This window comes from Homo sapiens, chromosome 3 (genome assembly GCF_000001405.40).
Source record: "Homo sapiens chromosome 3, GRCh38.p14 Primary Assembly".
Taxonomy (NCBI): Eukaryota; Metazoa; Chordata; class Mammalia; order Primates; family Hominidae; genus Homo; species Homo sapiens.
This window is the reverse complement of record NC_000003.12, coordinates 10,246,815-10,271,760: the sequence shown is the minus strand read 5'-3', so window position 1 is coordinate 10,271,760 and position 24,946 is coordinate 10,246,815. Positions and strand designations below refer to the sequence as shown.

General features: G+C 46.7%; 1 protein-coding gene across 1 annotated transcript in view, besides 11 other annotated features; it reads right to left on the bottom strand.

Moving 5' to 3' along the window:
• Positions 1-18,178: part of a biological region, named in NCBI's record as "3p25 TatD DNase domain containing 2 Alu-mediated recombination region", that runs on past the window's edge. NCBI's record gives its function as "recombination_partner: LOC107303338 | LOC107303339".
• The window catches only part of TATDN2 (TatD DNase domain containing 2), a 32,760-nt gene extending 9,458 nt beyond the window's left edge, over positions 1-23,302 (bottom strand). The window contains exons 1-4 of the mRNA NM_014760.4: positions 22,694-23,302; positions 22,147-22,566; positions 11,091-11,624; positions 746-1,630 (exon numbers count right to left, since the gene is read on the bottom strand). Of these exons, the coding sequence (NP_055575.3) occupies positions 746-1,630; positions 11,091-11,624; positions 22,147-22,560 (1,833 nt within the window). The 5' untranslated portion in view covers positions 22,561-22,566; positions 22,694-23,302. The remainder of the gene's footprint in view (positions 1-745; positions 1,631-11,090; positions 11,625-22,146; positions 22,567-22,693) is intronic.
• Positions 3,339-5,541: a meiotic recombination region, noted in NCBI's record as "meiotic double-strand break mapped by DNA meiotic recombinase 1 chromatin immunoprecipitation followed by single-stranded DNA enrichment and sequencing in the germ cells of some male individuals with the PRDM9 A/A, PRDM9 A/B and PRDM9 A/C genotypes". NCBI's record gives the evidence for it as "EXISTENCE:chromatin immunoprecipitation-seq evidence [ECO:0000229][PMID:25395542]".
• Positions 4,338-7,897: a meiotic recombination region, noted in NCBI's record as "HapMap YRI population data shows a slight increase in recombination rates in this region". NCBI's record gives the evidence for it as "DESCRIPTION:nucleotide sequencing assay evidence [ECO:0000219][PMID:20981099]".
• Positions 4,673-7,897: a meiotic recombination region, noted in NCBI's record as "HapMap CEU population data shows a slight increase in recombination rates in this region". NCBI's record gives the evidence for it as "EXISTENCE:nucleotide sequencing assay evidence [ECO:0000219][PMID:20981099]".
• Positions 7,637-7,826: a silencer, noted in NCBI's record as "silent region_14059". NCBI's record gives its function as "represses an Ori minimal core promoter by ATAC-STARR-seq in GM12878 lymphoblastoid cells {active_cell/tissue: GM12878}" and the evidence as "EXISTENCE:reporter gene assay evidence [ECO:0000049][PMID:35858748]".
• Positions 14,163-14,412: a mobile genetic element, noted in NCBI's record as "direction; forward".
• Positions 14,311-14,331: a non allelic homologous recombination region, noted in NCBI's record as "AluSx recombination sub-region, recombines with the AluSx1 recombination sub-region within the 3p25 FANCD2 Alu-mediated recombination region". NCBI's record gives the evidence for it as "EXISTENCE:nucleotide sequencing assay evidence [ECO:0000219][PMID:19280651]".
• Positions 16,302-18,178: a meiotic recombination region, noted in NCBI's record as "meiotic double-strand break mapped by DNA meiotic recombinase 1 chromatin immunoprecipitation followed by single-stranded DNA enrichment and sequencing in the germ cells of some male individuals with the PRDM9 A/A, PRDM9 A/B and PRDM9 A/C genotypes". NCBI's record gives the evidence for it as "EXISTENCE:chromatin immunoprecipitation-seq evidence [ECO:0000229][PMID:25395542]".
• Positions 16,765-16,780: a nucleotide motif, noted in NCBI's record as "nucleotide motif; similarity to the predicted 16-mer PRDM9 C-type binding motif, CCNCNNTNNNCNTNNC".
• Positions 21,866-22,734: an enhancer, noted in NCBI's record as "H3K27ac-H3K4me1 hESC enhancer chr3:10290711-10291579 (GRCh37/hg19 assembly coordinates)". NCBI's record gives its function as "activates a minimal SCP1, AML or CMV promoter by ChIP-STARR-seq in naive H9 embryonic stem cells {active_cell/tissue: H9 hESC(naive)}" and the evidence as "EXISTENCE:reporter gene assay evidence [ECO:0000049][PMID:30033119]".
• Positions 22,987-23,416: a silencer, noted in NCBI's record as "silent region_14058". NCBI's record gives its function as "represses an Ori minimal core promoter by ATAC-STARR-seq in GM12878 lymphoblastoid cells {active_cell/tissue: GM12878}" and the evidence as "EXISTENCE:reporter gene assay evidence [ECO:0000049][PMID:35858748]".

Sequence of the window (24,946 nt, the reverse complement as noted above, 5' to 3'; positions counted from 1 at the left end):
CCAGCCTGGGTGACAGAGTGAGATTCTGTCTCCAAAAAGAAAAAGAAAAAAATATTAACAGAGTATTAGCCATGATCTCTGGTTGAATGGGAAATTATGCATTTTTTCATATTTTTTCAAATATTCTGCAATGGGTATATTTAAAAAAAACAATGCAGGCCAGGCGCAGTGGCTCATGCCTGTAATCACAGCACTTTCGGAGGCCAAGGCGGGTGGATCACCTGAGGTCAGGAGTTCAATACCAACCTGGCCAACATGGTCTCTATTAAAAATACAAAAATTAGCCGGGTGTAGTGATGCACGCCTGTAATCCCAGCTACTTGGGAGGCTGAGGCAGGAAAACAGTTTGAACCCAGGAGGCGGAGGTTGCAGCGAGCTGAGATCGCACCACTGCACTCCAAAGCCTGGGCAAAAGAGCAAGACTCCCTCTCAAAAAATCAATTAAGAAAACCTAAAGTTTATTGCTTCCCAAGAAAGAAAGAAAACAAATGTTTTGACATTGATATCATCCATAAGAAGTCACAAAGTACTTCTCCCTCATCTTCCATAATAAAGCTGAACAGTAAGAAATAGCTTGTAAAGCATTTGACAAATGGCATCTAGATGGTCTGGATGAGAGCAAGCACACTGCGTTTTCAGGGATTCTCAATTATTTACTTCTAAAATTAGATAAACCCTTATTGTCAGGCTTCAACAACTAAAAGAAAAATTAAAACTATAAGCAGACTAAAGAGAGCCTTGTTACCTTGTGCTGTTCTGGGACAGGCGTGGTGCACTTGTAAGAGTAATCCAAGCCCATTTCTCCAAATGCCACAGCCTTAGGGTGCCTTAAGGCTTGCAAAAGATTTCTTTCTTGACTCTCACTGTAGTAACGTGCAAAATGAGGGTGACAGCCAAAGGCCCCCCAGACCAGATCCTCTTTCAACAGCTCCTCCCATAGGCAATCTGTCAGGGTGCGGGGATCACAGAAGTCAGAGATGCAGCCCTGAAATTCCTTAGGGAAGGAGCTGCTGTAAATTTTTCTGAACTTTGTAAAGGTCCCTTGGAAAGATAGCTTGGAATAGAGCATGTCCAGGTGACAATGAGTGTCAATGAAGCCCTCCTCTAGGCTTGGCTCCAGGTGGCTCTTTGGCAGGGAGCTGGATGCGTGTCCTCCACAAGGACGCGGAGGCATCTCCTCTTGGAATGTTCTTTTCTCCTTCACCTCTCTTTCTTCTGAGCTTCTGGAGAAGCGAAATGAACGAGAATTCTGGGACCAGCCTTCCTCTGAGGCCTCCATGTCTCTGGAGGTGTTTTGGACACTCCCTGTAGAGTTGGGGGAATAATCACTCATGCGGCTCCGGCTGCTCTTCCCAACCTGGGCTGCATCGTTGCTGCTGCTGCCTGTGGAGGGGTAGCTAGAAGGCTTGGGGCTGCTGGTCCAATAGCTGGCGTAGTCACACCAAGGACTACTGTACAAATGAGGAGGGTACATGACATAGTCGGTGGTGAAGGAAGAAGGCTCCGGAACGGCTGAAGGTTTCAGGGAGACAGGTTCCTCCTGAGAGAATCTGACTGTGGAGATCTCCTCAACATCAGACCAGTCACTTCCAGAAGAGGGGTGCTCCATCACCACCTCCCTATCTTTATGCTGCAGAAAAGAAGGCATACAACAGTGGGTTAGCCTTCCGATGTGAAGATGGCCTCCCAGGCTGTCATCAGCTGAACATAAACCCTGGCTTGTTCTTCTGGCCATGGTGATGGCTTTGCATTGGCTCATTAGCTCACCCTGTCACCTGGTTTCCTTACAATTTCCAGAAATGTCCAGAACTGAGCCAAGTTACTGCTGTGAACAGCTGTATTGGGTTCAGGGAATAGGCCTGTGACCATGGCCTCATCATGCTACTCCTAAAGGTGGTGCTCTACCTGCATCCCTTTCTCTTGAGAAAAACTGCTCTCTAGAACACACTCCGGATTGGAGATTTTAGAGAAAAGCAGTGCCCAGCTTTTCCTCTCTGACACTGTCGTCAATATATTCAAAATGTAAAATTACAACAGCTGTGGCAGTTGTATTTTTTTTTCAGACAGGGTCTTGCTCTGTTGCCCAGGCTGGAATGCGGTGGTGAGATCTCGACTCACTGAAACCTTGAACTACTGGGCTCAAGTAATCCTCTTGCCTCAGCCATCCAAGTAGCTGGGACTACAGGCACGCACCACCACATCTGGCTAATTTCTTGTAGGTAGGGGGTCTCCCTATATTGCCCAGGCTGGTCTCAAACTCCTGGACTCAAGCAATCCTCCTGCCTTGGCCTCCCAAAATGCTGAAATTACAGGCATAAGCCACCACACCTGGCCATTGTGACAGTTTTTAAACGTGTCCCCGAATTATTTAACCCTTCTCCCCATTGAGAGTGGGGTCTATGACCCCTCCCCTTAATCTGGACCTACCTAGAGACTTACTTATAGCCAAAAGAATGCAACAGAAGCGAAGCTGTGTAACTTCCAAGGCCAGGTCAGAAGGGCCTTGTAGCTTCCATCTGGTTCACTCCACTTGCTCACTCTGGAGCAAGCCAAGCACCATGTAAGAAGTCCGGCAACCCAAATGACATCCTGCTAGAGAGGCCACATGTAGGTGTGCCAGTTTACAGCCTGGCTGACTTACTGGCTGACAGCCAACATCTGTCCACCATGTAAGTGAACATCTCGGATGTCCAGCCCAGTCACACTCTCAGATGACGACAGCCCTCGCCAAAATCTGAAAGGAACTACATGGGGCTCCCCAAGAAACACCTGCCCCAGTCTAGGCCTTTCCAAATTCCTGACCCACAGTACTGAGAGCAAAAGAAAAGTTATTTTAAGCTACTAACTAGTAATAGTGACTGAAACAACCATCCCTTGCATTAAATCGGCTTAGTCCTACTAGAGAAGGTAAGCGCCACGAGATCAGGAATTTTTATTTTTTTTCCACTGATGTCTCCCCAACACCTAGAACAGTGCCTGGCAGATACTGAGTGCTCATGAATATCTGCTGAATTAATTTTTAGAATAAATGGTGCCTCAACTTAGCATCACATCTCCATCAACTGGGTAGCATTTTAAAAACAGATTTTTAAGGCCCATTCCACCCTGAGATATTGTGATTCAATAGGTCCAAGGTGGGGCCAAGGAATCTGCATTTAACTCTCCCCGGAATTGTGATGCAGACCAGGTTTGAGAAATACAGTAAGCACATCAATATCAATTCATGCTGGAAACAAAATTTAAGTGCCATCATTTCTTCTTAAAGCAGCCATCTATACCTGCCAATGACAGAAGGCTTGATGAGCAAGAGGCCTTACAAAGTTCTCTTAATACTTTTATGAGTATATGTAATTCACATAATAAAACAAACATTCACAATGAAAGAGCATTCTAGCTGAATTACCTGATTAAAATGGAACAAAACTGTTTATGTTGGCTGTACTAATATTTCATACCCCTAACTACACTCTAACAGGAAACAAGTATTAGTAACCAACACTTAAATGAATTACCCATTTCCCATTTTATACTTTCCTGCCTTAGACTTCTCACAGCTACTGCTTGAATGGCAGAAATATCCAAACAAGAATCTTTTCTAAAATGCAAGCTAACTTAAATGTAGCACATTTTTAATTTAATCTGAACTCTTGAAGCTGGGTGATGGGCATCTGGTGATTCAATACACTATTCTGTTTACTTTGAATGTTTGCAATTTCCCCTAAAACCTTTAAAAACTTATCTATAAGGGAGAACAATCCTTCAAAAACTATCTCGGTTATAACAGAAAATTTCCATCAACCCAGACAATAAAAAATTACAGTCTTGCCTAAGTTTGACAAGGCTTTTGTGTTCTGTTTTGTTTTTTTTCCCTGCTGAATTTTCTAGTGAAACATATTGGAACTACAAGTCTACTTTTGTATAGGTGCACCTGAAAGTTAAAATGTTTATCATATACAGTAACACATCATTAACATGTCTGCAAAATAATTGGAGGTGGTCACATTATGGCAATCCCAAAAACACACCTCGAGGAAAAACGGAAACAGACTGCCTCAATGTGATATGATGACTATTTGCAACTTGGAATAAAATTTCCAAGAACAATACACAGATTCAAAAAGTACTATATTCTCATCAGCAAAAACGAGACATATGACCCCATTTTTTACAACAAATAAATTACAACATTTTGGAGGGAGAAAAGGATGAATCTATAGAGACGAAGAGACTTGACACATTTAAAAATTGCCACATACAGTTCTCATTTGGATCCTCTTTCAAATGAACCAAAACAATCATCAAACAAACAGGGAAATTTAATCAGACTGGATAGGAAAATGTCAAAGTAAGGAAAAAAGCAGTTTCAAAAATGCACATGTAACTAGAAACATACACCATAAACAGACATAATAATTATGTCATCTAAATCCTTGAAAGGTTTCTAGAGTCAAGTTGGCCAAGAAAATGTTTTCAGATTTTTTTTTTTTGTCGGGGGGTGTGGGGGAAATAGGAGGAGACTGCCGATATTCAAGACTGTCTCAGCCGGGCAAGGGGGCTCACGCCTGTAATCCCAGCACTTTGGGAGGCCAAAGCAGGCAGACCACTTGAGCTGAGGAATTCCAGACCAGCCTGGGCAACATGGCAAAACCCCATCTCTACTAAAGATACAAAAAACTAGCCAAATGCGGTTGTGCACGCCTGTAACCCCAGCTGCTCGGGAGGCTGAGACATGAGAATCACTTGAACCTGGGAGGCAGAAGTTGCAGTGAGCCACTGTACTCCAACCTGGGTGATAGAGCAAGACTCTGTCTCAAAAAAAAAAAAAAAAAGACTGCCTTAGTTAGTTTAAGCCTGTATGGTAAAATTTAAAGTTACATTTATTGAGCACCTACTACTGGGCACTGAGCAAAGAGTAATCACGTATGAATTCAGAGTTCCACATGCTGCAGCCCACAAGAACATTTCTAGGCTAAAGATGGATTGAACAAATTCATCTTATTTTACTCTTTCCTGAAACCTCACTGAACAACACCATGCCTGATGGTGTAAATAAGGTTTCATTGGAATACAGTCAGGCCCATTCACTTGTACGTTGTCTATGGCCATTTTCATGCAGAGTTGAAAAGCTGCAACAGAGGCTGTAAACCCAAAAATGCATCTGACCCTGTATTAGCTTTTTACAAGTGGTAACATTTGAAGAGCTAGCCCATTTTACACACAGGAAGAAACTGGGGTTCAAAGAGGCTGACTTTCTCAAGATCCTAATTCGAGTGGCAGGGCCAGGATTTAAACCCAAATGGTCTGATCCCAACACTCACATGCTCACCTACCATACTGTGCTGTCTCCAAATAGATACGTAAGAGAAAACCTAATTGTCGTCCAGTCTCATAAATAGAAGTTTGGGTATAACTTTAGAAAATTCATCCACACAATGGAATTAGAGGCAACCAAGTAAGATGATCTACATTAGACAGAAAACACACCCATTACATATTTGGGAGGAAAATATCTTACAAACCTACTTTATGTGGGAATTTCCAATTATATATATAGCATATAGTTTTTGTCCTTCCCACCCAAAAACCCTTCTAAAGTTACAGGAAATATATCCGAAAAGGTATAAACCTACAAGGGGAAAGCACACAAAATGAACAGCAAAGCAAATTAAATAAGCATTGGATGCTATTCACAGATAACAGAGCATAGAAAACAGATGGGTTAATGATTATCAGCCAAGAAGATCAGATGGCCAAAACCTAAGCCTTCAGTGAGGAAAAACCCAGAACCAGACTACAGGACCCCAGAAAGACTCAGGAATTGGAGGTGCCAGACTTCCAAAGTGAGGGTGAAGCCGCAGATGAAAATAGGAATTAGCTGAAGTCTGTCAAGATCTCCAGACCCCTGCTCCCACCCTGTGCAGATGGCCTGCCCTTTCCCCACCCAGCAAAGGACAAAAGTTGATGCTTGGAAAAGTTAAACCAAGGGGACCACAGAAAAATAAAGGTGCAATGAGCTATGACCATGCCACTGCACTCCAACCTGGATGACAAAAACTTTTTTTTTTTTTTTTTTTTTTTTGAGACGGAGTCTTGCTCTGTTGCCCAGGCTGGAGTGCAGTGGTGCAATCTCAGCTCACTGCAAGCTCCACCTCTCAGGTTCACGCCATTATCCTGCCTCAGCCTCCCCAGCACCTGGGACTACAGGTGCACGCCACCATACCTGGCTAATTTTTTTGGATTTTTAGTAGAGACGGGGTTTCACCGTGTTAGCCAGGATGGTCTCGATCTCCTGACTTCATGATCCACCTGCCTCAGCCTCCCAAAGTGCTGGGATTACAGGCATGAGCCCCACGCCCAGCTAAAATTTTTAATTTTTAAAGTTCTGGCCGGGCGTGGTAGCTCATGCCTGTAATCCTAGCACTTTGGGAGGCCGAGGCAGGTGGATCACCTGAGGTCAGGAGTTCAAGACCAGCCTGACCAGCATGGTGAAATCCTGTCTCTGCTAAACATACAAAAATTAGCCAGGCATGGTGGTCCATGCCTGTAATCCCAGCTGCTCAGGAGGCTGAAACAGGAGAATTGCTTGAACCCAGGAGGCAGAGGTGGCAGTGAGCTGAGATCACACCACTGTATTTCAGCCTGGGCCACAGAGTGAGACTCTGTCTCAAAAAGACAAAAAAGAAAAAAAAATTGGCAGCAATAAAAAAAAAAAAAAACCACGCACAGGAAAAAAAAAAAAAAGACCAAAAAAAAAAAATCAACATAAACGTTAGAAGATAAACTTGAGCCAGGCGCGGTGGCTCACGCCTGTAATCCCAGCACTTTGGGAGGCCGAGGCGGATAGATCACCTGAGGTCAGGAGTTCGAGACCAGCCTGGCCAAAATGAAACCCCGTCCCTTCTAAAAATACAAAAATTAGACAGGCATGGTGGCATGCGCCTATAGTCCCAGCAATTCAGGGGTCTGAGGCGGGAGAATCGCTTGAACCTGGGAGGCAGGGGTTGCAGTGAACCAAGACCAAGCCATTGCACTCCAGCCTGGGTGGCAGAGTGAGACTCTATCTCAAAAAAAAAAAAAGAAGATAAAGTTGAAGAAACCATCCAGAAAAATTTTTTAAAAAGGATTCACTGGGAAGAAAAGAAAATTGGAATTTCCATCCGAAAGACCAAGCATAAAATAGATGGTCCAGAAAAAGAAGAAACAGACAAGAAATCAAATAATCAAGAAATTTTCCCAGAACTTTTCTAGGCTAAGGATGTACTGAACAAATTCGACTTATTTTACTCTTTCCTGAAACCTCACTAAAACTAAAGAATCTAAAAACCAAACAAAAAACAAATAAAACCCCTCTACAATAACAAAAACACCAGAACAGGAAGAACAAGAGACTACAGTGATCACGCACTGGAGGCTAGAAAGCAGATGGCCAAATAACACCTCACTGGCAGACCAAGAGAAGGCTGAGACCTAAGCTAGGCACCAGGAAAGCTTAGAACAGAGCAGGCACTCGCGGTACTGGGCACCTTGGGAACTGGAGGAACTGGAGTTACAGAAGAACATTAAAAGGAGGAGGACAGGGTGAAATCTGGTTTCCAATGAGTTAGATCCCAGATTCCCTCCTCATACTCAGAGAAGGTGAGTTGTTTGAAGACAGTAAAACAAGAGGATCTCTAGAATAAGGCCTGGTCAGCTCAGTGGAGGGCACTGGTACTGCACCAAAAAGACAAAGATTAAGTGAATGCTGACGCCGCCCCCGCAGCCGCCCCTTTCGCTACCCAGCTCCCAGCCACCTTTCCTCCTAAGCAGGCTGAAAAACACTCCTCTGGGCAAGGTGACCAGTCTCGAGGCTTTCCTAAAAGCAGTGACATGGCAAGGGGAAGAGGGTTATATTCTCCCGATCATCCCAAAGCAAAGCTCAAAGTCTTTACGCTCAGAGCTTCCAAACAGCTTTTTAATCCTCCCATTCTTGATCATAAACAGACAACCAAAGATTACCAGACATGTGAAGGCAGCCTCTAACACAGAAGAGATCAAAAGAAACGGAAAGAAGCAACTTAAAGAAAACTAAAACCAAGCCAAAAAACTACCATGAACTCCCTAAAAGAGATAACAGAAGATGAAACAAGAACAGAGATGTTATTAAAAAACAAAAGAGCTCTTGGATAATAAAAAGCATGACAGTAGAAAAGTAAAACTAAATAAACAGCTGGGTTGGAAGATAAAGAAAAGGAAATATCCTACAAAGTAAAGCAAGAAATTGGCTAGAAACAAGGGAGAAAGGCAATAAAATTACAGGACCAGTCCTGAAAAATCCAACATCCAAATAAGAGAAAGAAGGTAGAGAAGCTAGAGAGAGAAAGAGAGAAGAAAAATACGGAAAGAAAACATCAGCGAAGTACAGTAATTCACGAACTTTTCCCACAGCTAAAGTACAAGGGTTTCTAGATTGAAAGGGAATGTCCCATGCTAAGCAAAGTAGACACCACCACCATGAAATTTCAGAGCCCTGAGATCAAAATATATTCTACAAGATTCCACAGAGGGAAAAAAAAAAAAAATACAGGTTGGGCACGGTGGCTCACACCTGTAATCCCAGCACTTTGGGAGGCTGAGCCGGGCGGATCATGAGGTCAGGAGTTCGACACCAGCCTCACCAAAATGGTGAAACCCCATCTCTACTAAAAATACAAAAATTAGCCGGGTGTGGTGGCACATGCCTGTAATCCCAGCTACTCACAAGGCTGAGGCAGGAGAATCGCTTGAACCTGGGAGGTGAAGATTGCAGTGAGCTGAGATCACGCCACTGGACTCCAACCTGGGTGACAGAGCAAAACTCTGTCTCAAAGCAAAAGAAAATAAAAAATAAAAAATCATATACCAAGGTTCAGGAACCAGCATAGCTTCAGACATCAAGAAAACCAGAAGAGGCCAGGCGAAGTGGCTTACACCTGTAATCTCAGTACTTTGGGAAGCCTAGGCAGGTGGATCACCTCAGGTCAGAAGTTTGAGACCAGCCTGGCCAACATGATGAAACTCTGTCTCTACCAAAAATACAAAATTAGCCAGGTGTGGTGGCGTGTGCCTGTAATCCCAGCTACTCGGGAGGCTGAGACAGGAGAATCACTTGAACCCAGGAAGTGGAGGCTGCAGTGAGCCAAGATCACACCAGTGCACTCCAGCCTGGGCAAGACAGAACGAGACTCCACCTCAAAAAAAAAAAAAAAAAAAAAAAAGCCCAGAAGAAAAGGAGCAATGCCTTCAAAATCCCAAACAAAACAATTTCCAACCTGGAATTCCAAAACCAACCAAGCTTGTAATCAAGGTTAAAGGTAAAATAAAGGCAATCTCAGACACATGTTTACCAAAAAAAGTTTCTCCATGTACCCTTTCTCAAGAAGCTACTAGAAAAAGTATTCCACCAAAATGTGAGAGTAAACCAAGGAAGAAGAACATGAGAAGACACAGAGTATAGGTAGCAGAAGACTCAATCCGGGAGAAATGTGAAGGAGGCTCCAGAGAGACAGCTGCCAGCTGGCCTGACGGCAGGCAGTCCAGACCAGAGCAGGACAACAGAGGGCTGAGGACGTATACCTCCAAGAGAGAAAAAAAAGAAACAGATTCCTTATTTTGACAGTATTGAGAAGGATTTTACAGCTCTCGCAGTTTGGGGATTAATTAGTGAAAGGTACCAGGAAAACCAAAGGAAAAACAAAGTAATGATGAACTTTAAGGAAAATGAAGTTTTACAAGAAAGAAAATGTGATCAGAGTATACAAGGCGACTCAGCTGTGAACATGGCAGTAACAAATCTTACACAGACTTAACCCAAAAGGTATTCAAGCCACACAGGGAGGCTGCAGAAAGGGGAAGCTAATGTGTCCCTGGGTGTGGGTGCTTCTGAAGGAGGTATAGAGAACTAAATTCTCATCGCCCAAGCAAGAAGTCCTCAGACATCTAAAACTGAAAAACTGATCAACAGTAAAGATTATTTAGAAACATGGGGTAAGTACTAGAAGAAAGAGCTAAAGATGAGAGAAGCTGCCTGCAGAGCAGTAGTAAAGGATGGGTGGAGACGAGTAAGATGGAGGAATGTGGCCTGGCACAGTGGCTCATGCCTGTAATCCCGGCACTTTGGGAGGCCAAGGCAGGTGGATCACGAGGTCAGGAGTTCGAGACCAGCCTGGCCAACATGGAGAAATCCCATATCTACTAAAAATACAAAAATTAGCCGGTTTGGTGGCGCACACCTGTAATCCCAGCTACTCAGGAGGCTGAGGCAGGAGAATTGCTTGAACCCAGGAGGTGGAGGTTGCAGTGAGCCAAGATTGCACCATCGCACTCCAGCCTGGGCAACAGAGCAAGACTCTGTCCCAACAACAAAAAAAAAAAAAAAAAGAAAAAGATGGAGGAATGCTTCCCCTCAATTATAAGCTATGTTAAAAATCACTAGTTTCCGTCCAATGACATCCTTCCCTTCTTCTCTGGTTATCCAGGTACAAGTCTGCCTAGATAAAGGCTGATTTTCCAGACTCCCTTGCAGCCAGGTGTCAGCCGGGTTTCCCCGCTCTTGTCAACAGCAGATACAACATGTGCAACTCTTGAGCCAAGCTCTTAACAGGGAAGGAATGCACTCTCCTCTTCTCCCCTTCCCACTGGCCAGAATGCCCAGATAACAAACCCTGAGTCCTATCAGAGTATCCATTTCACACCAAGAGATGGACACTGTGTTGAGGGGTGATAGAGAATCAAGACAAAAGGTACCAGTATCTCTGACATGATGGAGCCATCCTTCTTAAGCCAAACTTATATTCTGTTTAAGCCACTGTGATTTTGGCCTTTTACACAGCAGCTAAACCCATATCCTAACATATAAATCCTTCAAAAAAAAAAAAAAGCACTTAGTTTAGGTTTATTAATAACTCTGAAAATCTGAAAAGTATGTTAGAAGAAAACCATCAGTTTGTTCCCTGGAGGCCTGGTTAAGTAAAGTACTATTTTTAATTAGTAACACTTAGGATCAAACTAGAAAGATGGAACACATTTCATCAACAGAACTAAAAAGTCAGATGCCTGGTACAAGCTTTACTCACCTTTTGGATTTCTAAATGAGAGTCAGAGTCATCCAAGAACTCTAGGGGTGGAGAGCATTTGTCAATGACAGTCCTTCGGTCCCCAAGGGGCTCCTCACTGGGTTTCTCTTGAGGGTCTATAACTACTCTCCTGTCATAGAAGCTGCTCCTCTCTGGCACTGTCTTATCCTCCTCCATGCTGACCTCTGGGGTTGCGTCTTTCTCCTTCTGAGCAGCAGTGACTGTGACACTCCTGGCTGCTCCTTCTGCAGTCTTGGCTGGTCCTTCACTCCTGGCTGGTCCTTCTCCATGGCTGGGATGCTCTGCTGCGCTTGGTTTTGCCCGAGTGGCAGCCTCTCCCTTCCTTTTTGGCATCGATTTCCCCAGGATGCCCTGGATAGCCTTCAGGTAGATCATTGTGGAGCCCTGGTCTCGAAGTCTATCCCTCTTCCTTTTCTGGACCTTGTTGGGTTCCTCAATTGTATCATTCTGACCCTCAGCTTCAGCTGCAAATTCAGAGTTTGTGGAGTTATGAGAACTATCTTTGGAATCAACCTGGGAAAAAAAAAACAGAATTGAAAGGGCTGTTCCAAGGGCACTTTCGTACATGAAGCATTTGGCAAATTATAAATCAGTGGTGGTTCTACCAGTCAAAGGGAAAGTGACTGTGGCTAAGGCAAAGGTTCTCTCCGGGTGGTGAAGTGGCACTGTAAGAGGGGCTGATTGCTGCCATTTCTTAGCATTCGCCTTCTCATGCTCAGCAGATGATATCCTTTCACTGCAAGGGGACGGAAGGAGCTGAAATGAACACTCTCATTAAACCAGACTGCAAGCTCCTGGAAGGCAAGGACTACACTTCAGGCAAAACAGCAGCTCAAGCTCTTCCCACTGGAAAGGGCCCTAGAAACCAGCTAGCCCAATCCCATATCTAAGGGTAAAGGAAACCTGAGGACCCAGTGAGGGGAAGGGCTAGCCCCAGGAACTCCAATCCCCCAGTTCTGAGTGCAGTGTTTTTCCCACCATACCCAAAGCCTCCTGAAAGTTCTCTGCAAACACTTCCCCTCAAATAATCAACTTGGTTTTGGAAAATACCTCAGTTTCTCAGTGACTGCACCAGGGTCAGTCAAGATAGACTGCTCCCAACAACAAACCTCCTCCAAGACGGAAGTGAAGCCTCAGCCCCCTCTTGCACCCACTCACTCCAGGACTCCACACAGAAAAAGCTAGACTTTGTTTGCCAGACTATTTTGATGTGAAATTCTAATCCAGTCTAATCCCTGCCGGGTGTAAGAACTCTCCACAAATGTCCTCCTAAGGCCATTCCATAAGCAGTAAACCATTATCCCATTTGCATTCCTAAGTCATTTCTATTAAATTCCTCTCAAAAGTAAATACAGACCAGGTACAGTGGCTCATGCCTGTAATCCAGCACTTTGGGAAGCCGAGGCAGGTGGACTGCTTGAACCCAGGAGGTCGAGACAAGCCTGGCCAACATGGCGAAACCCCATCTCTATAAAACACACGGGGCGCGGTGGCTCATGCCTGTAATCCCAACACTTTGGGAGGCCAAGACAGGAAGATCACTTAGGCTCAGGAGTTCAAGACCAGCTTGGGCAAGGTGTCAAAACTCTGTCTCTACTAAAAATTACAAAAATTAGCTGGGCCATGGTGGCACACGCCTGTGATCCCAGCTACACGGGAGGCTAAGGCACAAGAATCGCTTGAACCTGGGAGGCAGAGGTTTCAGTGAGCCGTGACGGCACCACTGCACTCCAGCCTAGGCAATACAGTGAGACCCTATCTCAAAAAAAAAAAGGCAAAATTGCTTTATATGTATATATTCGCAAACAAGTCTAAAAAGCTAAACTGTTTATAATGGATCTCTTTGGGGAATGCAGGGAAGTAGAAAGAGACTTAGGCTCGGCTGGGAGCAGTGCCTCACACCTGTAATCCCAGCACTTTGGGAGGCCGAGGCAAGTGGATCACCTGACATCAGGAGTTCGAGACCAGCCTGGCCAACATGGCAAAACACTGTGTCTACTGAAAATACAAAACTTAAGCCAGGCATGGTGGCGGGCACCTGTAATCCCACTTACTCAGGAGGCTGAGGCAAAGAATCGCTTGAATCGGAAGGCAGAGGTTGCAGTGAGGCAAGATCGTGCCACTGCCCTCCAGCCCAGGCAACAAGAGCAAAACTCTGTCTCAAAAAAAAAAAAAAGAAGCAAAATAAAAATAAAATTACAAAAATTAGCCAGGCGTGGTGGCACATGCCTATAGTCCCAGCTACTCAAGAGGCTGAGGCAGGAGAATCACTTGAACCCAGGAGGCGGAGGATGCAGTAAGCCGAGATCATGCCACTGCACTCCAGCCTGGGTGAGAGAATGAGACTCTGTCTCAAACAAACAAACAAACAAAGGCTTAGGTGCTTATATTATAAGCTTCTTGTATCATTTGAAATTTTTTTCCGAAGAGCACATCATATTTTTTTTTAATCATTATCCTGAATCAAGGGCCAAAGGAAAATAAAACTTAAAACAATCATAAACCTAGCTGGGCGCGGTGGCTAATGTCTGTAATCCCAGCACTTTGGGAGGCCGAGGCGGGCCCATCGAGACCATCCTGGCTAACACAGTGAAACCCCGTCTCTACTAAAAATACAAAAAATTAGCCGTGCGTGGTGGCGGGCGCCTGTAGTCCCAGCTACTCGGGAGGGTGAGGCAGGAGAATGGCGTGAACCCGGGAGGCGGAGCTTGCAGTGAGCCAAGATCGTGCCACTGCACTCCAGCCTGGGCTACAGAGTAAGACTCCATCTCCCAAAAAAAAAAAAAAAAAAAAAAAAAAAAAAAAAAATCATAAACCTTTAGAAATCTATACTTGTTAATATAGACATCTATTTTCCTGAAAGTACTCAAACTGTTGGCAGCTGCTAACTTCACGAAGATGAATAGGAAAGGTGGTGTTTGCTATCATTTTGAACCTCTGTGGACTTAGTAAATTTTCTTACTTTCTGTATTTTCTAACGTGTCTACAGAGATTATTTGTTAAAGGAGGTTACGGGTCATTTTTGTTTTTTTTTTTTGTTTTTTTTTTTTTTGGAGACAGTGGTGCGATCTCAGCTCACTGCAACCTCCGTCCCCCAGGTTCAACAGATTCTCCTGCCTCAGCCTCCCAAGTACCTGGGATTACAGGCATGTGCAATCACACCTGGCTAATTTTTGTATTTTTAGTAGACGGGGTTTCGCCATGTTGGCCAGGCTGGTCTTGAACTCCTGACCTCTGGTGATCCACCCACCTCGGCCTCCCAAAGTGCTGGGATTACAGGTGTGAGCCACCGCGCTCAGCCTGTTTTCTTTGTATCTTTTTATATTTAAGGAATTCATATATATATATATATATAATTTTTTTTTGAGGCAAAATCTCACTCTGTTGTCCAGGCTGGAGTGCGGGGTGTAACCTCAGCTCGCTGCAACCTCCGCCTCTGAGGTTCAAGCAATTCTTGTGCTTTAGCCTCCCTCCCAAGTAGCTGGGATTACAGGCATCTGCCACCACACCTGGCTAATTTTTTTTTGGTATTTTTAGTAGAGATGGGGTTTCACCATGTTGGCCTAACCTCAAGTGATCTGCCCGCCTTGGCCTCCCAAAGTGCTGGGATTACAGGCATGAGCCACCGTGCCTGGCCTCTAATACTAATAATAAATTTGATGACTCCCAGGGCCTGCCCTGTGAGACACAGCCCCAACTTCCCAGCCCACTTCTCTAGTGCCCTCTTCTGCCTGCCACCAACCACCTGCCACCCTTGGCCCATCACACCCTCTTACACATTTGCTAGCACATCTTATCTCCTCTGCTTGCCATGTCCTTGCCTCCGTCCCATTTTGTGTTCCCACCTGTCTGTTAAGGCCCCATCTCCACTGACTGCTTCTCCACCCCTGCCCTCTGCTCCCGCTGTAGCCACATATACAACACAGAGGGTGAGATCTGCAACAAACTGAGGAGTATCTGCACCCTCAGACGGGCAGCTGCTCCTCACCTCTAACTGGTGCCATTTGAGAGTAGAGAATCAGAGTTAGAGATTCTGTTTCTTTCAAGTAAAACCAGAAATATTGAATTTAGTGCACTTTTCAACCATTAAGCAAGCACTTACTAAGCACTTACTCTGTGCCAGCAGGCACGGTTCTGGACCTGTGGGTTTAGCGTTCAATAAAAAAAAAAACAAGGCTGGGTGTGGTGGCTCATGCCTGCAATTCCAGCACTTTGGGAGGCCAAGGCAGGAGGATCATTTGAGCCTAGGAGTTCAAGACCAGTCTGGGCAACATAGCAAGACCCCATCTGTACAAGAAAAATACAAAAATTAGCTGGGTGCAGTGACCCACACCTGTAGTCCCAGCTACTCCAGGAGCTGAGACAGAAGGATTGCTTGAGTGTGGAAGGTCAAGGTCACAGTAAGCCGAGCTTGTGCCACTGCACTCCAGCCTGTGGAGACGCTCCAAACTTTTGGAGACGCTGTCTCAAAAAAAAAAATAATAGTAATAACACACAAGAACGTCTGCCTCCTGGAGCTCACATTTTAGCTGGTAAGGGAAGGGAAAACCAGGAGAAAGGTAAGACAAGTGAAATATGTATGTTAGAGAGTGATAACTGCCAAGGAGAAAAACAAAATAAGAAAAGAGGACATAAAATGGGGAGGTGATGTCATTCAATTCTTCAGTTCAAGGTAGGGACTTAGACTGGAGTCATAAATTCTATTTTCTGAGACAGTCTCACTCTGTCGCCCAGGCCGGAGTACAGTGGCGCCATCTCAGCTCACTTACAACCTCCGCCTCTCAGGTTCAAGTGATTCTCCTGCCTCAGCCTCCTGAGTAGTTGGGATTACAGGCATGTGCTACCACACCCAGCTACATTTCGTATTTTTGGTAGAGACGAGGTTTCTCCATGTTGGCCAAGCTGGTTTTAAACTCCCAGCCTCAAGTGATCAGCCCACCTGAGCCTCCCAAAGTGCTGGGATTACAGGCATGAGCCACCGCACCCAGCCTGGAGTCATAAATTCTTAATGTGAATTGTCTCAAAATGTAAATACTGTTAAGGACCTAGCAGGCTACATCCAGTCCACAGACCAGCAGTTTTGCCACCTCTGGTTGTGAAGACCAAGACTGGAGTTGGGGGAGAAAAAAAAAAATTAGGAGTATAATAATATACCTTATATTTTCATACAGATTTACAATTTACAGAAGTGCTACAGCCGTCATACTTCTTTTACAGAAAGTGAAACTGCTACATGGCTTGTAAGTGGCAGAACCGGGATTCAAACTCAAGTTCTCCCTAACATCCTGGAAGCCAAGGGAAAGGAGTAATGAAATATGAAAGTGAGAAACACTGTTGGCTGGGCATGGTGGCTCCTGCCTATAATCTCAGAACTTTGGGAGGCTGAGGCAGGCAGATCACTCGAGCCCACAAGTTCAACACCAGCCTGGGCAACATGGCAAAAAAACCCCTCTCTACAAAAAATACAGAAAAATTAGCTGGGCATGGTGGTGCACGCCTGTAGTCCCAGCTACTTGGGAGGCTGAGGCAGGAAGATCACCTGAGCCAGGAGGTCAAGGATGCAGTGAGCCAATTGCACCACTGCACTTCAGCCTGGGTGACAGACAGGAAAGGAGGGAGGGGGAGGGGGAGGGGGAGTGGGAAGTGGGAAGGAGGAAGGGGGAAGGGGGAAAAAAAGAGAGAAAGTGAGAAACACTCTCCTAGGCTGGAGGACCTAAGATGGATCAACGACACCGAGGATGAGTTTCAGCAGGTGACAGTTGGCTCTAAAGGTAAGAAGTAGGTAGACCATGGGCAGAAGGTAAGAGACAAACCACCTGACTTCATAAAGGGGAGAGTTCGTTCTTCCTGGAAGCACTGCTTGGTGAACTGTGCATCTCCAAAGGAAAGAAGGAAAGATAAGTGGAGATGTTGCTCCAGCCCTATCACCAGTAGCCTGAAGGATTTCAACAGCTCCTCACCAGCTCCCTGTCTTCTCCCTCCTACCCTTTCTCTGCAGCGTGCCAGAGGAGCTCTAAAATGCAAACCCCACCACTTCAGCCTTAGTTTAGAACCCTTCCAGGGCTCCACATTTGCCTACAGAATAATCCCTACCCCTGAGCTCATCAGGAACCCTTCACAGACTGGCCCCAGCCTTCCTGTCTAGCCTCATCTCCTGCCTTCCTCCAAACACGCAAGTGTCCAGGGAACGCAGGAGAGCACGGATGAGAGAAGGGAGGGCCAGCAGTGCCCCAAGCACTCCAGACAAGCAGCATTTCCTGACATTTTGGGCATGTATTGCTCCCTATGCCCGAAATGTCCTGTCCCCCTCCTTGTCCATCAGTAAGACTCAGATGTCACCTCTTCTGTGAGGACCTTCCTGATGGTCAGTCGCTCATTCCCCTGACCCTTGGGTACTCCAAACCCATCCCTGTTACAGCTCTCCACTCACTGCCCCGTGGTGAGTGACTTCTCAGTCTGTGAAGCATGGCCCGATTGTCCTTGGCAACAACAGCCCCAAGCCTGGTGTTCCACGTGTGCACTAGACATGTGCCAAGTGGAGATGCAGGAAAGGGGATGTGCAAAAGCTCTATCACTCAAGAGCCTCAATACCCAGTGCTTTACTGTGCCTGGGCTAACTCACCCTGCAGAGAGCTCCGCAAGGGAGGGACCCTGGCACCTTCGTCTTGCCACCCCTACATCTGATGCCAGGCTAGAACAGAGCAGGTGCTCCCAGAGGCAGCAGTGCAGAGAACACTGGCTTTGAAGTTGGACTAATCTGATATTACCCCACAGCTCGGCCATTTACCAGCTGCATGGCCTTGGTCAGCTTATTTAACCTTTCTGAATCTCATCTGCCCAGTGCCTACACAGAGTAGGTGCTTAAATATTTGTTAATTGATATGAAGGTATTTACTAATGGATATGTGGAGATAATACCACCTACTTCACGACACTTTTGGGATTATGTGATAGTCTATAGATCAAACATCGAGAATCATAGTTGACCAAGCCTTATCATACATGCTCAAATTTTCCCTTCCATTCTTTCAACTCTAAATTGAATGTAGACATTTAGATGTCATAGTAAAAATAATCTTTACTACATGAAGGTGCTCGTCACACAGTTAGTCTCCTCTGTGAAGAGTAAATGAAGATCATCAGCTAACATGAAACATCTCCAACTGTCCTGGAGGTAAGAAGGGAACGATGTGAGGTCAGCCAGCAGGGATCTCTACCGATTCTAAAATGACCAGTCTAACACCTTCCCCTCAGAATATTCTGTGACCTGGCACAGAGAAAGATGTGTTAAAGGCTGGTGGGAGAAGGGAACAAAGTCAACTGTGTAACCCTCAAAGTTTACAGAGCAAGGCCAGGCACAGTAGCTCATGCCTGTGATCCCAGCACTTTGGGAGGCCAAGGTGGGAGGACTGCCTGACCCCAGGAGATTGAGACCAGCCTGGTCAACATAGGGAGACTCTTGTCTTTACAAAACACAAAAAATTAGCCAGGCAGGCCAGGCGCGGTGGTTCACGCCTGTAATCCCAGCACTTTGGGAGGCCTATGCAGGCGGATCACGAGGTCAAGAGATCGAGACCATCCTGGCTAACATGGTGAAACCCCATCTCTACTAAAAATACAAAAAAATTAGCCGGACATGGTGGCGTGCACCTGTAGTCCCAGCTGCTGGGGAGGCTGAGGAAGGAGAATGGCGTGAACCCGGGAGGCGGAGCTTGCAGTGAGCCGAGATTGCACCACTGCACTCCAGCCTGGGTGACAGAGCAAGATTCTGTCTCAAAAAAAAAAAAAAAAAAATTAGCCAGGCAGGTTGGCACACGCCTGAGTTCCACCTACTTGGGAGGCTGAGGCAGGAGGATCGCTTGAGCCCAGGAGGTTGAGATGCAGTGAGCTATGATCATGCCAGTGCACTCCAGCCTGGGTGACAGAGCAAGACCCTGTCTCAAACAAAAAAAAAAAGTTTACAGAGCAGACACAGGAGAGCAGTGAGAGGACTCTAGAAGGACCTGAGGATGAACATGCCATTTTTGTGAGTACCCCTCGGCTGTGCTTGCTGAAGGACTTAGGACCAGGACAGATAAGTTCACAGATGACCACAGAGCAAGGGAGGAAGAGGTACAGATGAAGGTGGAAGGTAAGAGGTGTTTTGTAATTCATCAAGATGAGTCAAGTACTGTACACTTGGTTTTTAAACTGACAAACATATACTCCAGGAAGAGACTTCAGCAGTCCTAGAGATGGACAATCAGGGTAATATAAAAACCCTCACTCGACAAGAGTGATCTTTCTACAATGCAATTTCCTTTTCTGTGTAGAGCCCTGTATAAATTCTCTAATTGCTTAGAAGACAATCCAGCTGGCACAGTGGCTCATGCCTCTAATCCCAGCGCTTTGGGAGGACAAGGCAAGAGGACAGCTTGAGCCCAGGAGTTTGAGACCAGCCTGGGCAACACAGTGAGATCTTCATCTCTACAAAAAAAAAAATTTTTTTTTTTTTTTTTTTTTGAGACTGAGTCTCACTCTGTTGCCCAGGCTGGAGTGCAGTGCCTTGATCTCGGTTCACTGCAAGCTCTGCCTCCTGGGTTCATGCCATTCTCCTGCCTCAGCCTCCCAAGTGGCTGGGACTACAGGCACCCGCCACCATGCCCGGCTAACTTTTTGTATTTTTAGTAGAGAAAGGGTTTCACCGTGTTAGCCAGGGTAGTCTCAATCTCCTGACCTCGTGATCTGCCCACCTCGGCCTCCCAAAGTGCTGGGATTACAGGCGTGAGCCACCACGCCCAGCCCAAAAAAAAAATTTTTAATCTGCAGGGTGTGGTGGCACATGCCCATATTCTCACCTATTTAAGAAGATTGCTTGACCCCAGGAGTTTGAGGCTACAGTGAGACATGATTGCGCCACTGCACTTCAGCCTGGGAAATCGTTTCAAAAAAATAAAATAATTTTTTTAAAATAAGAATACAATTGGCCGGGCATGGTGGCTCACACCTGTAATCCCAGCACTTTGGGAGGCTGAGGCGGTCAGATCACTTGCAGTCAGGAGTTAGAGACCAGCCTGGCCAACAAGGCGAAACCCCATCTCCACTAAAAATACAAAGATCAGCTGGGCACGGTAGCGCACACCTGTAGTCCTAGCTACTTGGGAGGCTGAGGCAGGAGAATTGTTTGAACCCAGGAGGTGGAGGCTGCAGTGAGCAGAGATCATGCCACTGCAGTCTACCTTGGGTGACACAGTAAGAATCTGTCTCAAAAAAAGAGAATACAATTCTAAGGGAATTGTCCCTTAGAATAAAATCCATTGTCCTTAGGATAAAATCCAAATTCCCTTGGCTACTAAAACCTTGCTGCAATCCACCCCCTACCTCGCTCTCCAGCCTCCATTCTGGGCTCACTACTCCATCATACCACATTGTGGGCAGTCATGCGACCACTCCTCCAGCCCTCCCACCAGACTGCTCCCTAGAAGCTCATCACTCCCAGACCCAACAGTGCGTGGCCCACAATAACCCTCAAGTGCTTCTACTGAAACCATTAAATTGGGTTCTTGCAAAACAAGGCCCCTTTAGCCTTAATGAGAGAAAGGTGGGTCCACCTACAATTAGACCCACCCAGATTAGAGACCACACCCTCAAACCTGAGTTCCAGGTCTTTAGGACAGCCAGGGATTCAGCACACCTGAAAGACTATGTAAAGTAAATTTCCTGCCTCTCCCAGTAACAGGTTTCACTCTATCTACAAATTGTCAGTGAAGCTAAATTGAATCAACTGGTATTATTTTATGCTGTACCCAAGTCTACTGAAATTGTATCAAGGATTAATGGCAAGATTAACTTGTATGAGCAAAGTCCCATACTTACCTGATTTGAGACAAATTCAGCATTCCTACGCTAGAGACAGGGCTTTTCAACTCACTGTTATTTGTGAATTTAAAAAGAAAAAATCCACGTGCCCACACAAGAGTTCAGACAGTGAGGTCCACATTGAAAAAACCAGGGGCACTTAGCCTATGAGTCCCCAAGACAAACAGTCAAATACAGCCTCCTTTCTCAGCTACACAAAAGAAACCACCAAGGCTAGGCTTAAAAACAAACACATATTCCTTAGGGCCTGTTTTAATTGCTTTTGTAAAGTAATTTTCTCTAGAGGCAGCCCATCTGATCCCAAATAAGACTGTTTCTCCACTCCTCCACAGGCAGAACTTCTCACTTCTTAAGACTCAGACCTTCAAAATCTAGGATGCAAACTCTAAGGGGAAAGTGATCTGTTTTGTTAGTAAAGAATCCCAAACACCTAGAACATTGCCTGGCACAAACTAAACCCTCAACACATATTTGTTCAAAGCCTTGATTGAGTAGATGAGCGAAATGTATCTTCTCTGTGAAGCACTCCTTGGTCTGCTCAAAGTACTTATGAAACCCTCTTGCATGTTTCCATTAGGGAATTAACAATTTAACCTCCAAAAAAAAAAGAAAAAAAAAAAAAACTAGCACCACCAAGCAAAACCCCAACATGCTGGAAACTATGACTTTGGAGAAAAGCTACACCAAGAACCGCAATTCTTGGTTCTGTGATTCAGAGTGGTTCAAAGTACAAGGGCACACAATTCTTTAAACTGACAACTAAAATAAATACATTCTTCTCTTGAGCACATAATCCACCTTCTACTGCAGTGATTCTCCAACGGGGCTGCACGTTTACAATAACCTGGGGAGCACTGAAAAATCTGGAAGCCCAGACCACACCTCAGCCCAATAAATCAGTTTCTCTGGAGTAGGAGGCAGGCCCAAGTATTTTAAAGCTTTCCAAGTAGTTCCAAAGTGCTGCCGAGTTTGAAAATTACCTCTCTACTTAACTTCAGGCCACGCGCCTGGAAGACTGCTAGGTCTTCGAGTTTGGGGGGAGTGGACTTCTAGAAAGACCTTCCAGACCTTCAAGGATGTAATGTTTTGTAGTCTCCTTCCACCAAAATTCCCATCCCCAACCTCTCAAGCCATGTGGAAGGGGCTTCACCGATTGCAAAGCGTGGCAGCCACCTACCTTAAGGCTGCAGGCTTCCTCCTCTAGAGAAGCCATTTCTTCCAAAGAGGCGTTGGCAGGACGCAGAGGGGATCCCCCTGAAGACAGGAACCCCCGAGTGTTCCGAATCAGGCAGCCTTTGGAGGCGGCCCCGCCCACACCAGGGCCCAAGAAATGTGGGGAGAAGGAGGAGGAGGAGTTATTTCTGCGGCGGGATGAGCCCCAGGATAACCTCCGCGAGCAAGCCACATCGTCCTCCTTCTGGGCTTTCAGGCGCTTGGGGCTGCTGGGCCCTCCAGAACGCGACGCAGACCTCTGAGCTGGCCGGCTGGAGGGGGCCACATCACAGGGCTCCCGGAGGCAGCTGCGCTTGCGGGGACACCCTTCCGACGTGCTGCTCCAGTTGTGCTTGACCTTGCCCCGCTCGGACGCCATGGGCACCTGCAAGGTACAGGGGGCCTGGATTCCAACACCACCCTTCCTGGCGACCCCACCTCAGATTCCCGCCACCCCGGGCCCAGGAGGACGGCAAGACATAAGGGCAGAGCCAGGGGCTAGCCTCACTGACCTTTCCCTCTTCTTTCCACTGCCCATCACAGTTCTCAAGGTTTCAGAGATGCCAAACCGTGTTGGAGAAGTCAAAGCGATCCAAAATTGACTAAAGGCTGCCGTCGGTTTCCAAGCCCACAACGTGCTTCTGAGATCAGGAAGCCTTCACTTTGCCCAGCGCTACTTCGGAGATGCCTAAGCGCTTCCGGGGCTACGAAGCGCTTTGATCAGTTTGCAATATAAAGCCCTTTAGAACTGTCAAGCGCTTCAGAAGACCACATGGCGCTTCAAGATCCACACATGGCTGCCGGATCCGCGGCCCCGGGGCCGGGCGCTTAGCCCGTAGGCCAGGGCCAGACCCGGGCGCCGCAGCCCGCCCTGCTCCTGCGGCCCAACCAGACCCGGGCCGGAAGGGGCCCGAGCGGCCCCTCGGGAGCTGGCAGCGCCCTCGACCGCCAACTCAGGACGCCCCCCGCCGGCTGCCGCAGCTGTCCCGCCGGGCAGCCCGCCGCCTGCCCCAGCCCTACAGCCCCGCCTGGCCCGGCCTCCGCCCGAACTGCGACCACTCCGGCCTCCGTGGCGCCCGCCCTCCGGAACGAGCCCTGCGGCCCGCAGGCCGGAGAGCGACAGGGGCGGGGCCTGCGCCAAACGGAAGGCGCCCATTGCTCGACCCGGCAAGGGGCGGGACTCCGAGCAAGACGCAGCCCGCCTCAAAGCCAGGCGCCTTGGAGTCGGGACGGTACGCCTTAGGAAGCTCGTCCATTGGTCAGAAGCCAGATGGGGCGGAGCCACTCACGTGGGCTCGAACAGCGGGAAGTTGAGGCCAGCCAGATGTGCAGGCAGGTGGTGTCCGCTGACGCGCCTCACTTAACGCTGTTTTCCTCAGCGCCGGCCGCTGTACCTGAAGCTTTCAGACCTGGATTTCTCATCGAGCCAAAGCAAACCGTGTACTGAGCATTATCACCCCACTTTATAGAGCAGAAAACTGTGGCTCAGAGAGACTAAGTACACACCCAGAAATGGGAAGAATTAGAATTAGAAGGCACCAAAAAAAAAAAAAAAAAGACTACACAAAAATGTGAACTATCCGCCTGGTGAAAAATATTAAAGACGGCTGGGCACGGTGTCTCACGCCTGCAATCTCAGCACTTTGGAAGACCGAGGCGGGAGGATGGCTTGAGCTCGGGAGTTAGAGACCAGCCTGGCCAGCATGGTGCGACCCCCATCTCTACAAAAAATAAAATTAGCTGGGCGTGATGCCAGCTACTCAGGCTGAGGTGGGAGGATCACTTGAGGCCGGGAGGTCGAGGCTGCAGTGAGCTGTGATCCCGCCACTGCACTCCAGCCTGGAGGACAGAGCAAGACCCTGTCTCAAAAAAGAAAAAAAATCAAAGACAAGGTACAAATTCAGAAAAATACTCGAAACATATGACAAAGGGCTGATATTCGATGTAGCAATTCTCCCAAAATAATAAAATAACTTAGTATTAAGACTGGCAAAGGAGGCTGGGTCCAGTGGCACACGTCTGTAATCCCAGCACTTTGGGAGGCCGAGGTGGGTGGATCTCTTGAGGCAAAGAGTTCGAGACCAGCGTGGGCAACATGGTGAAATCCTGTCTCTAGTGAAACACAAAAATTAGCCTGGTGTGGTGGTGGGCGCCTGTAGTCCCAGCTACTCAGGAGGCTGAGGTGGGAGGATCCCTTGAGCCTGGGAAGTCGAGGGTCCAGTGAGCCAAGATTACTGCCACTGCACTCCAGCCAGGGAGACAAAGTGAGACCCCTGTCTCAGGGAAAAAAAAAAAAAAAGGCAAAGGAAGCAATGAACAAAAACAAATCATGAAACGCTCCTAAATATAAGAAAGATGGCTCCACCTCAACCATTAAAAAAGTACATGTAAGGCCAGGTGTGGTGGCTCACGCCTGTGATCCCAGCACTTTGGGAGGCCAAGGCGGGCAGATCACGAGGTCAGGAGATCGAGACCATCCTGGCTAATACGGTGAAACCCCGCCTCTACTAAAAATACAAAAATTAGCCAGGCGTGGTGGCAGGCGCCTGTAGTCCCAGCTACTCGGGAGGCTGAGGCAGGAGAATGGCGTGAACCCAGGAGGTGGAGCTTGCAGTGAGCCAAGATTGCGCCACTGCACTTCAGCCTGGGTGAGAGACTCCGTCTCTAAAAAAAAAAAATTAATTAATTAAATTAAATTAAAAAGTACATATAAAATTATAATTTTCCACTCGTTAGATTGGCAATAATCAAAAAACAAGGTAAGG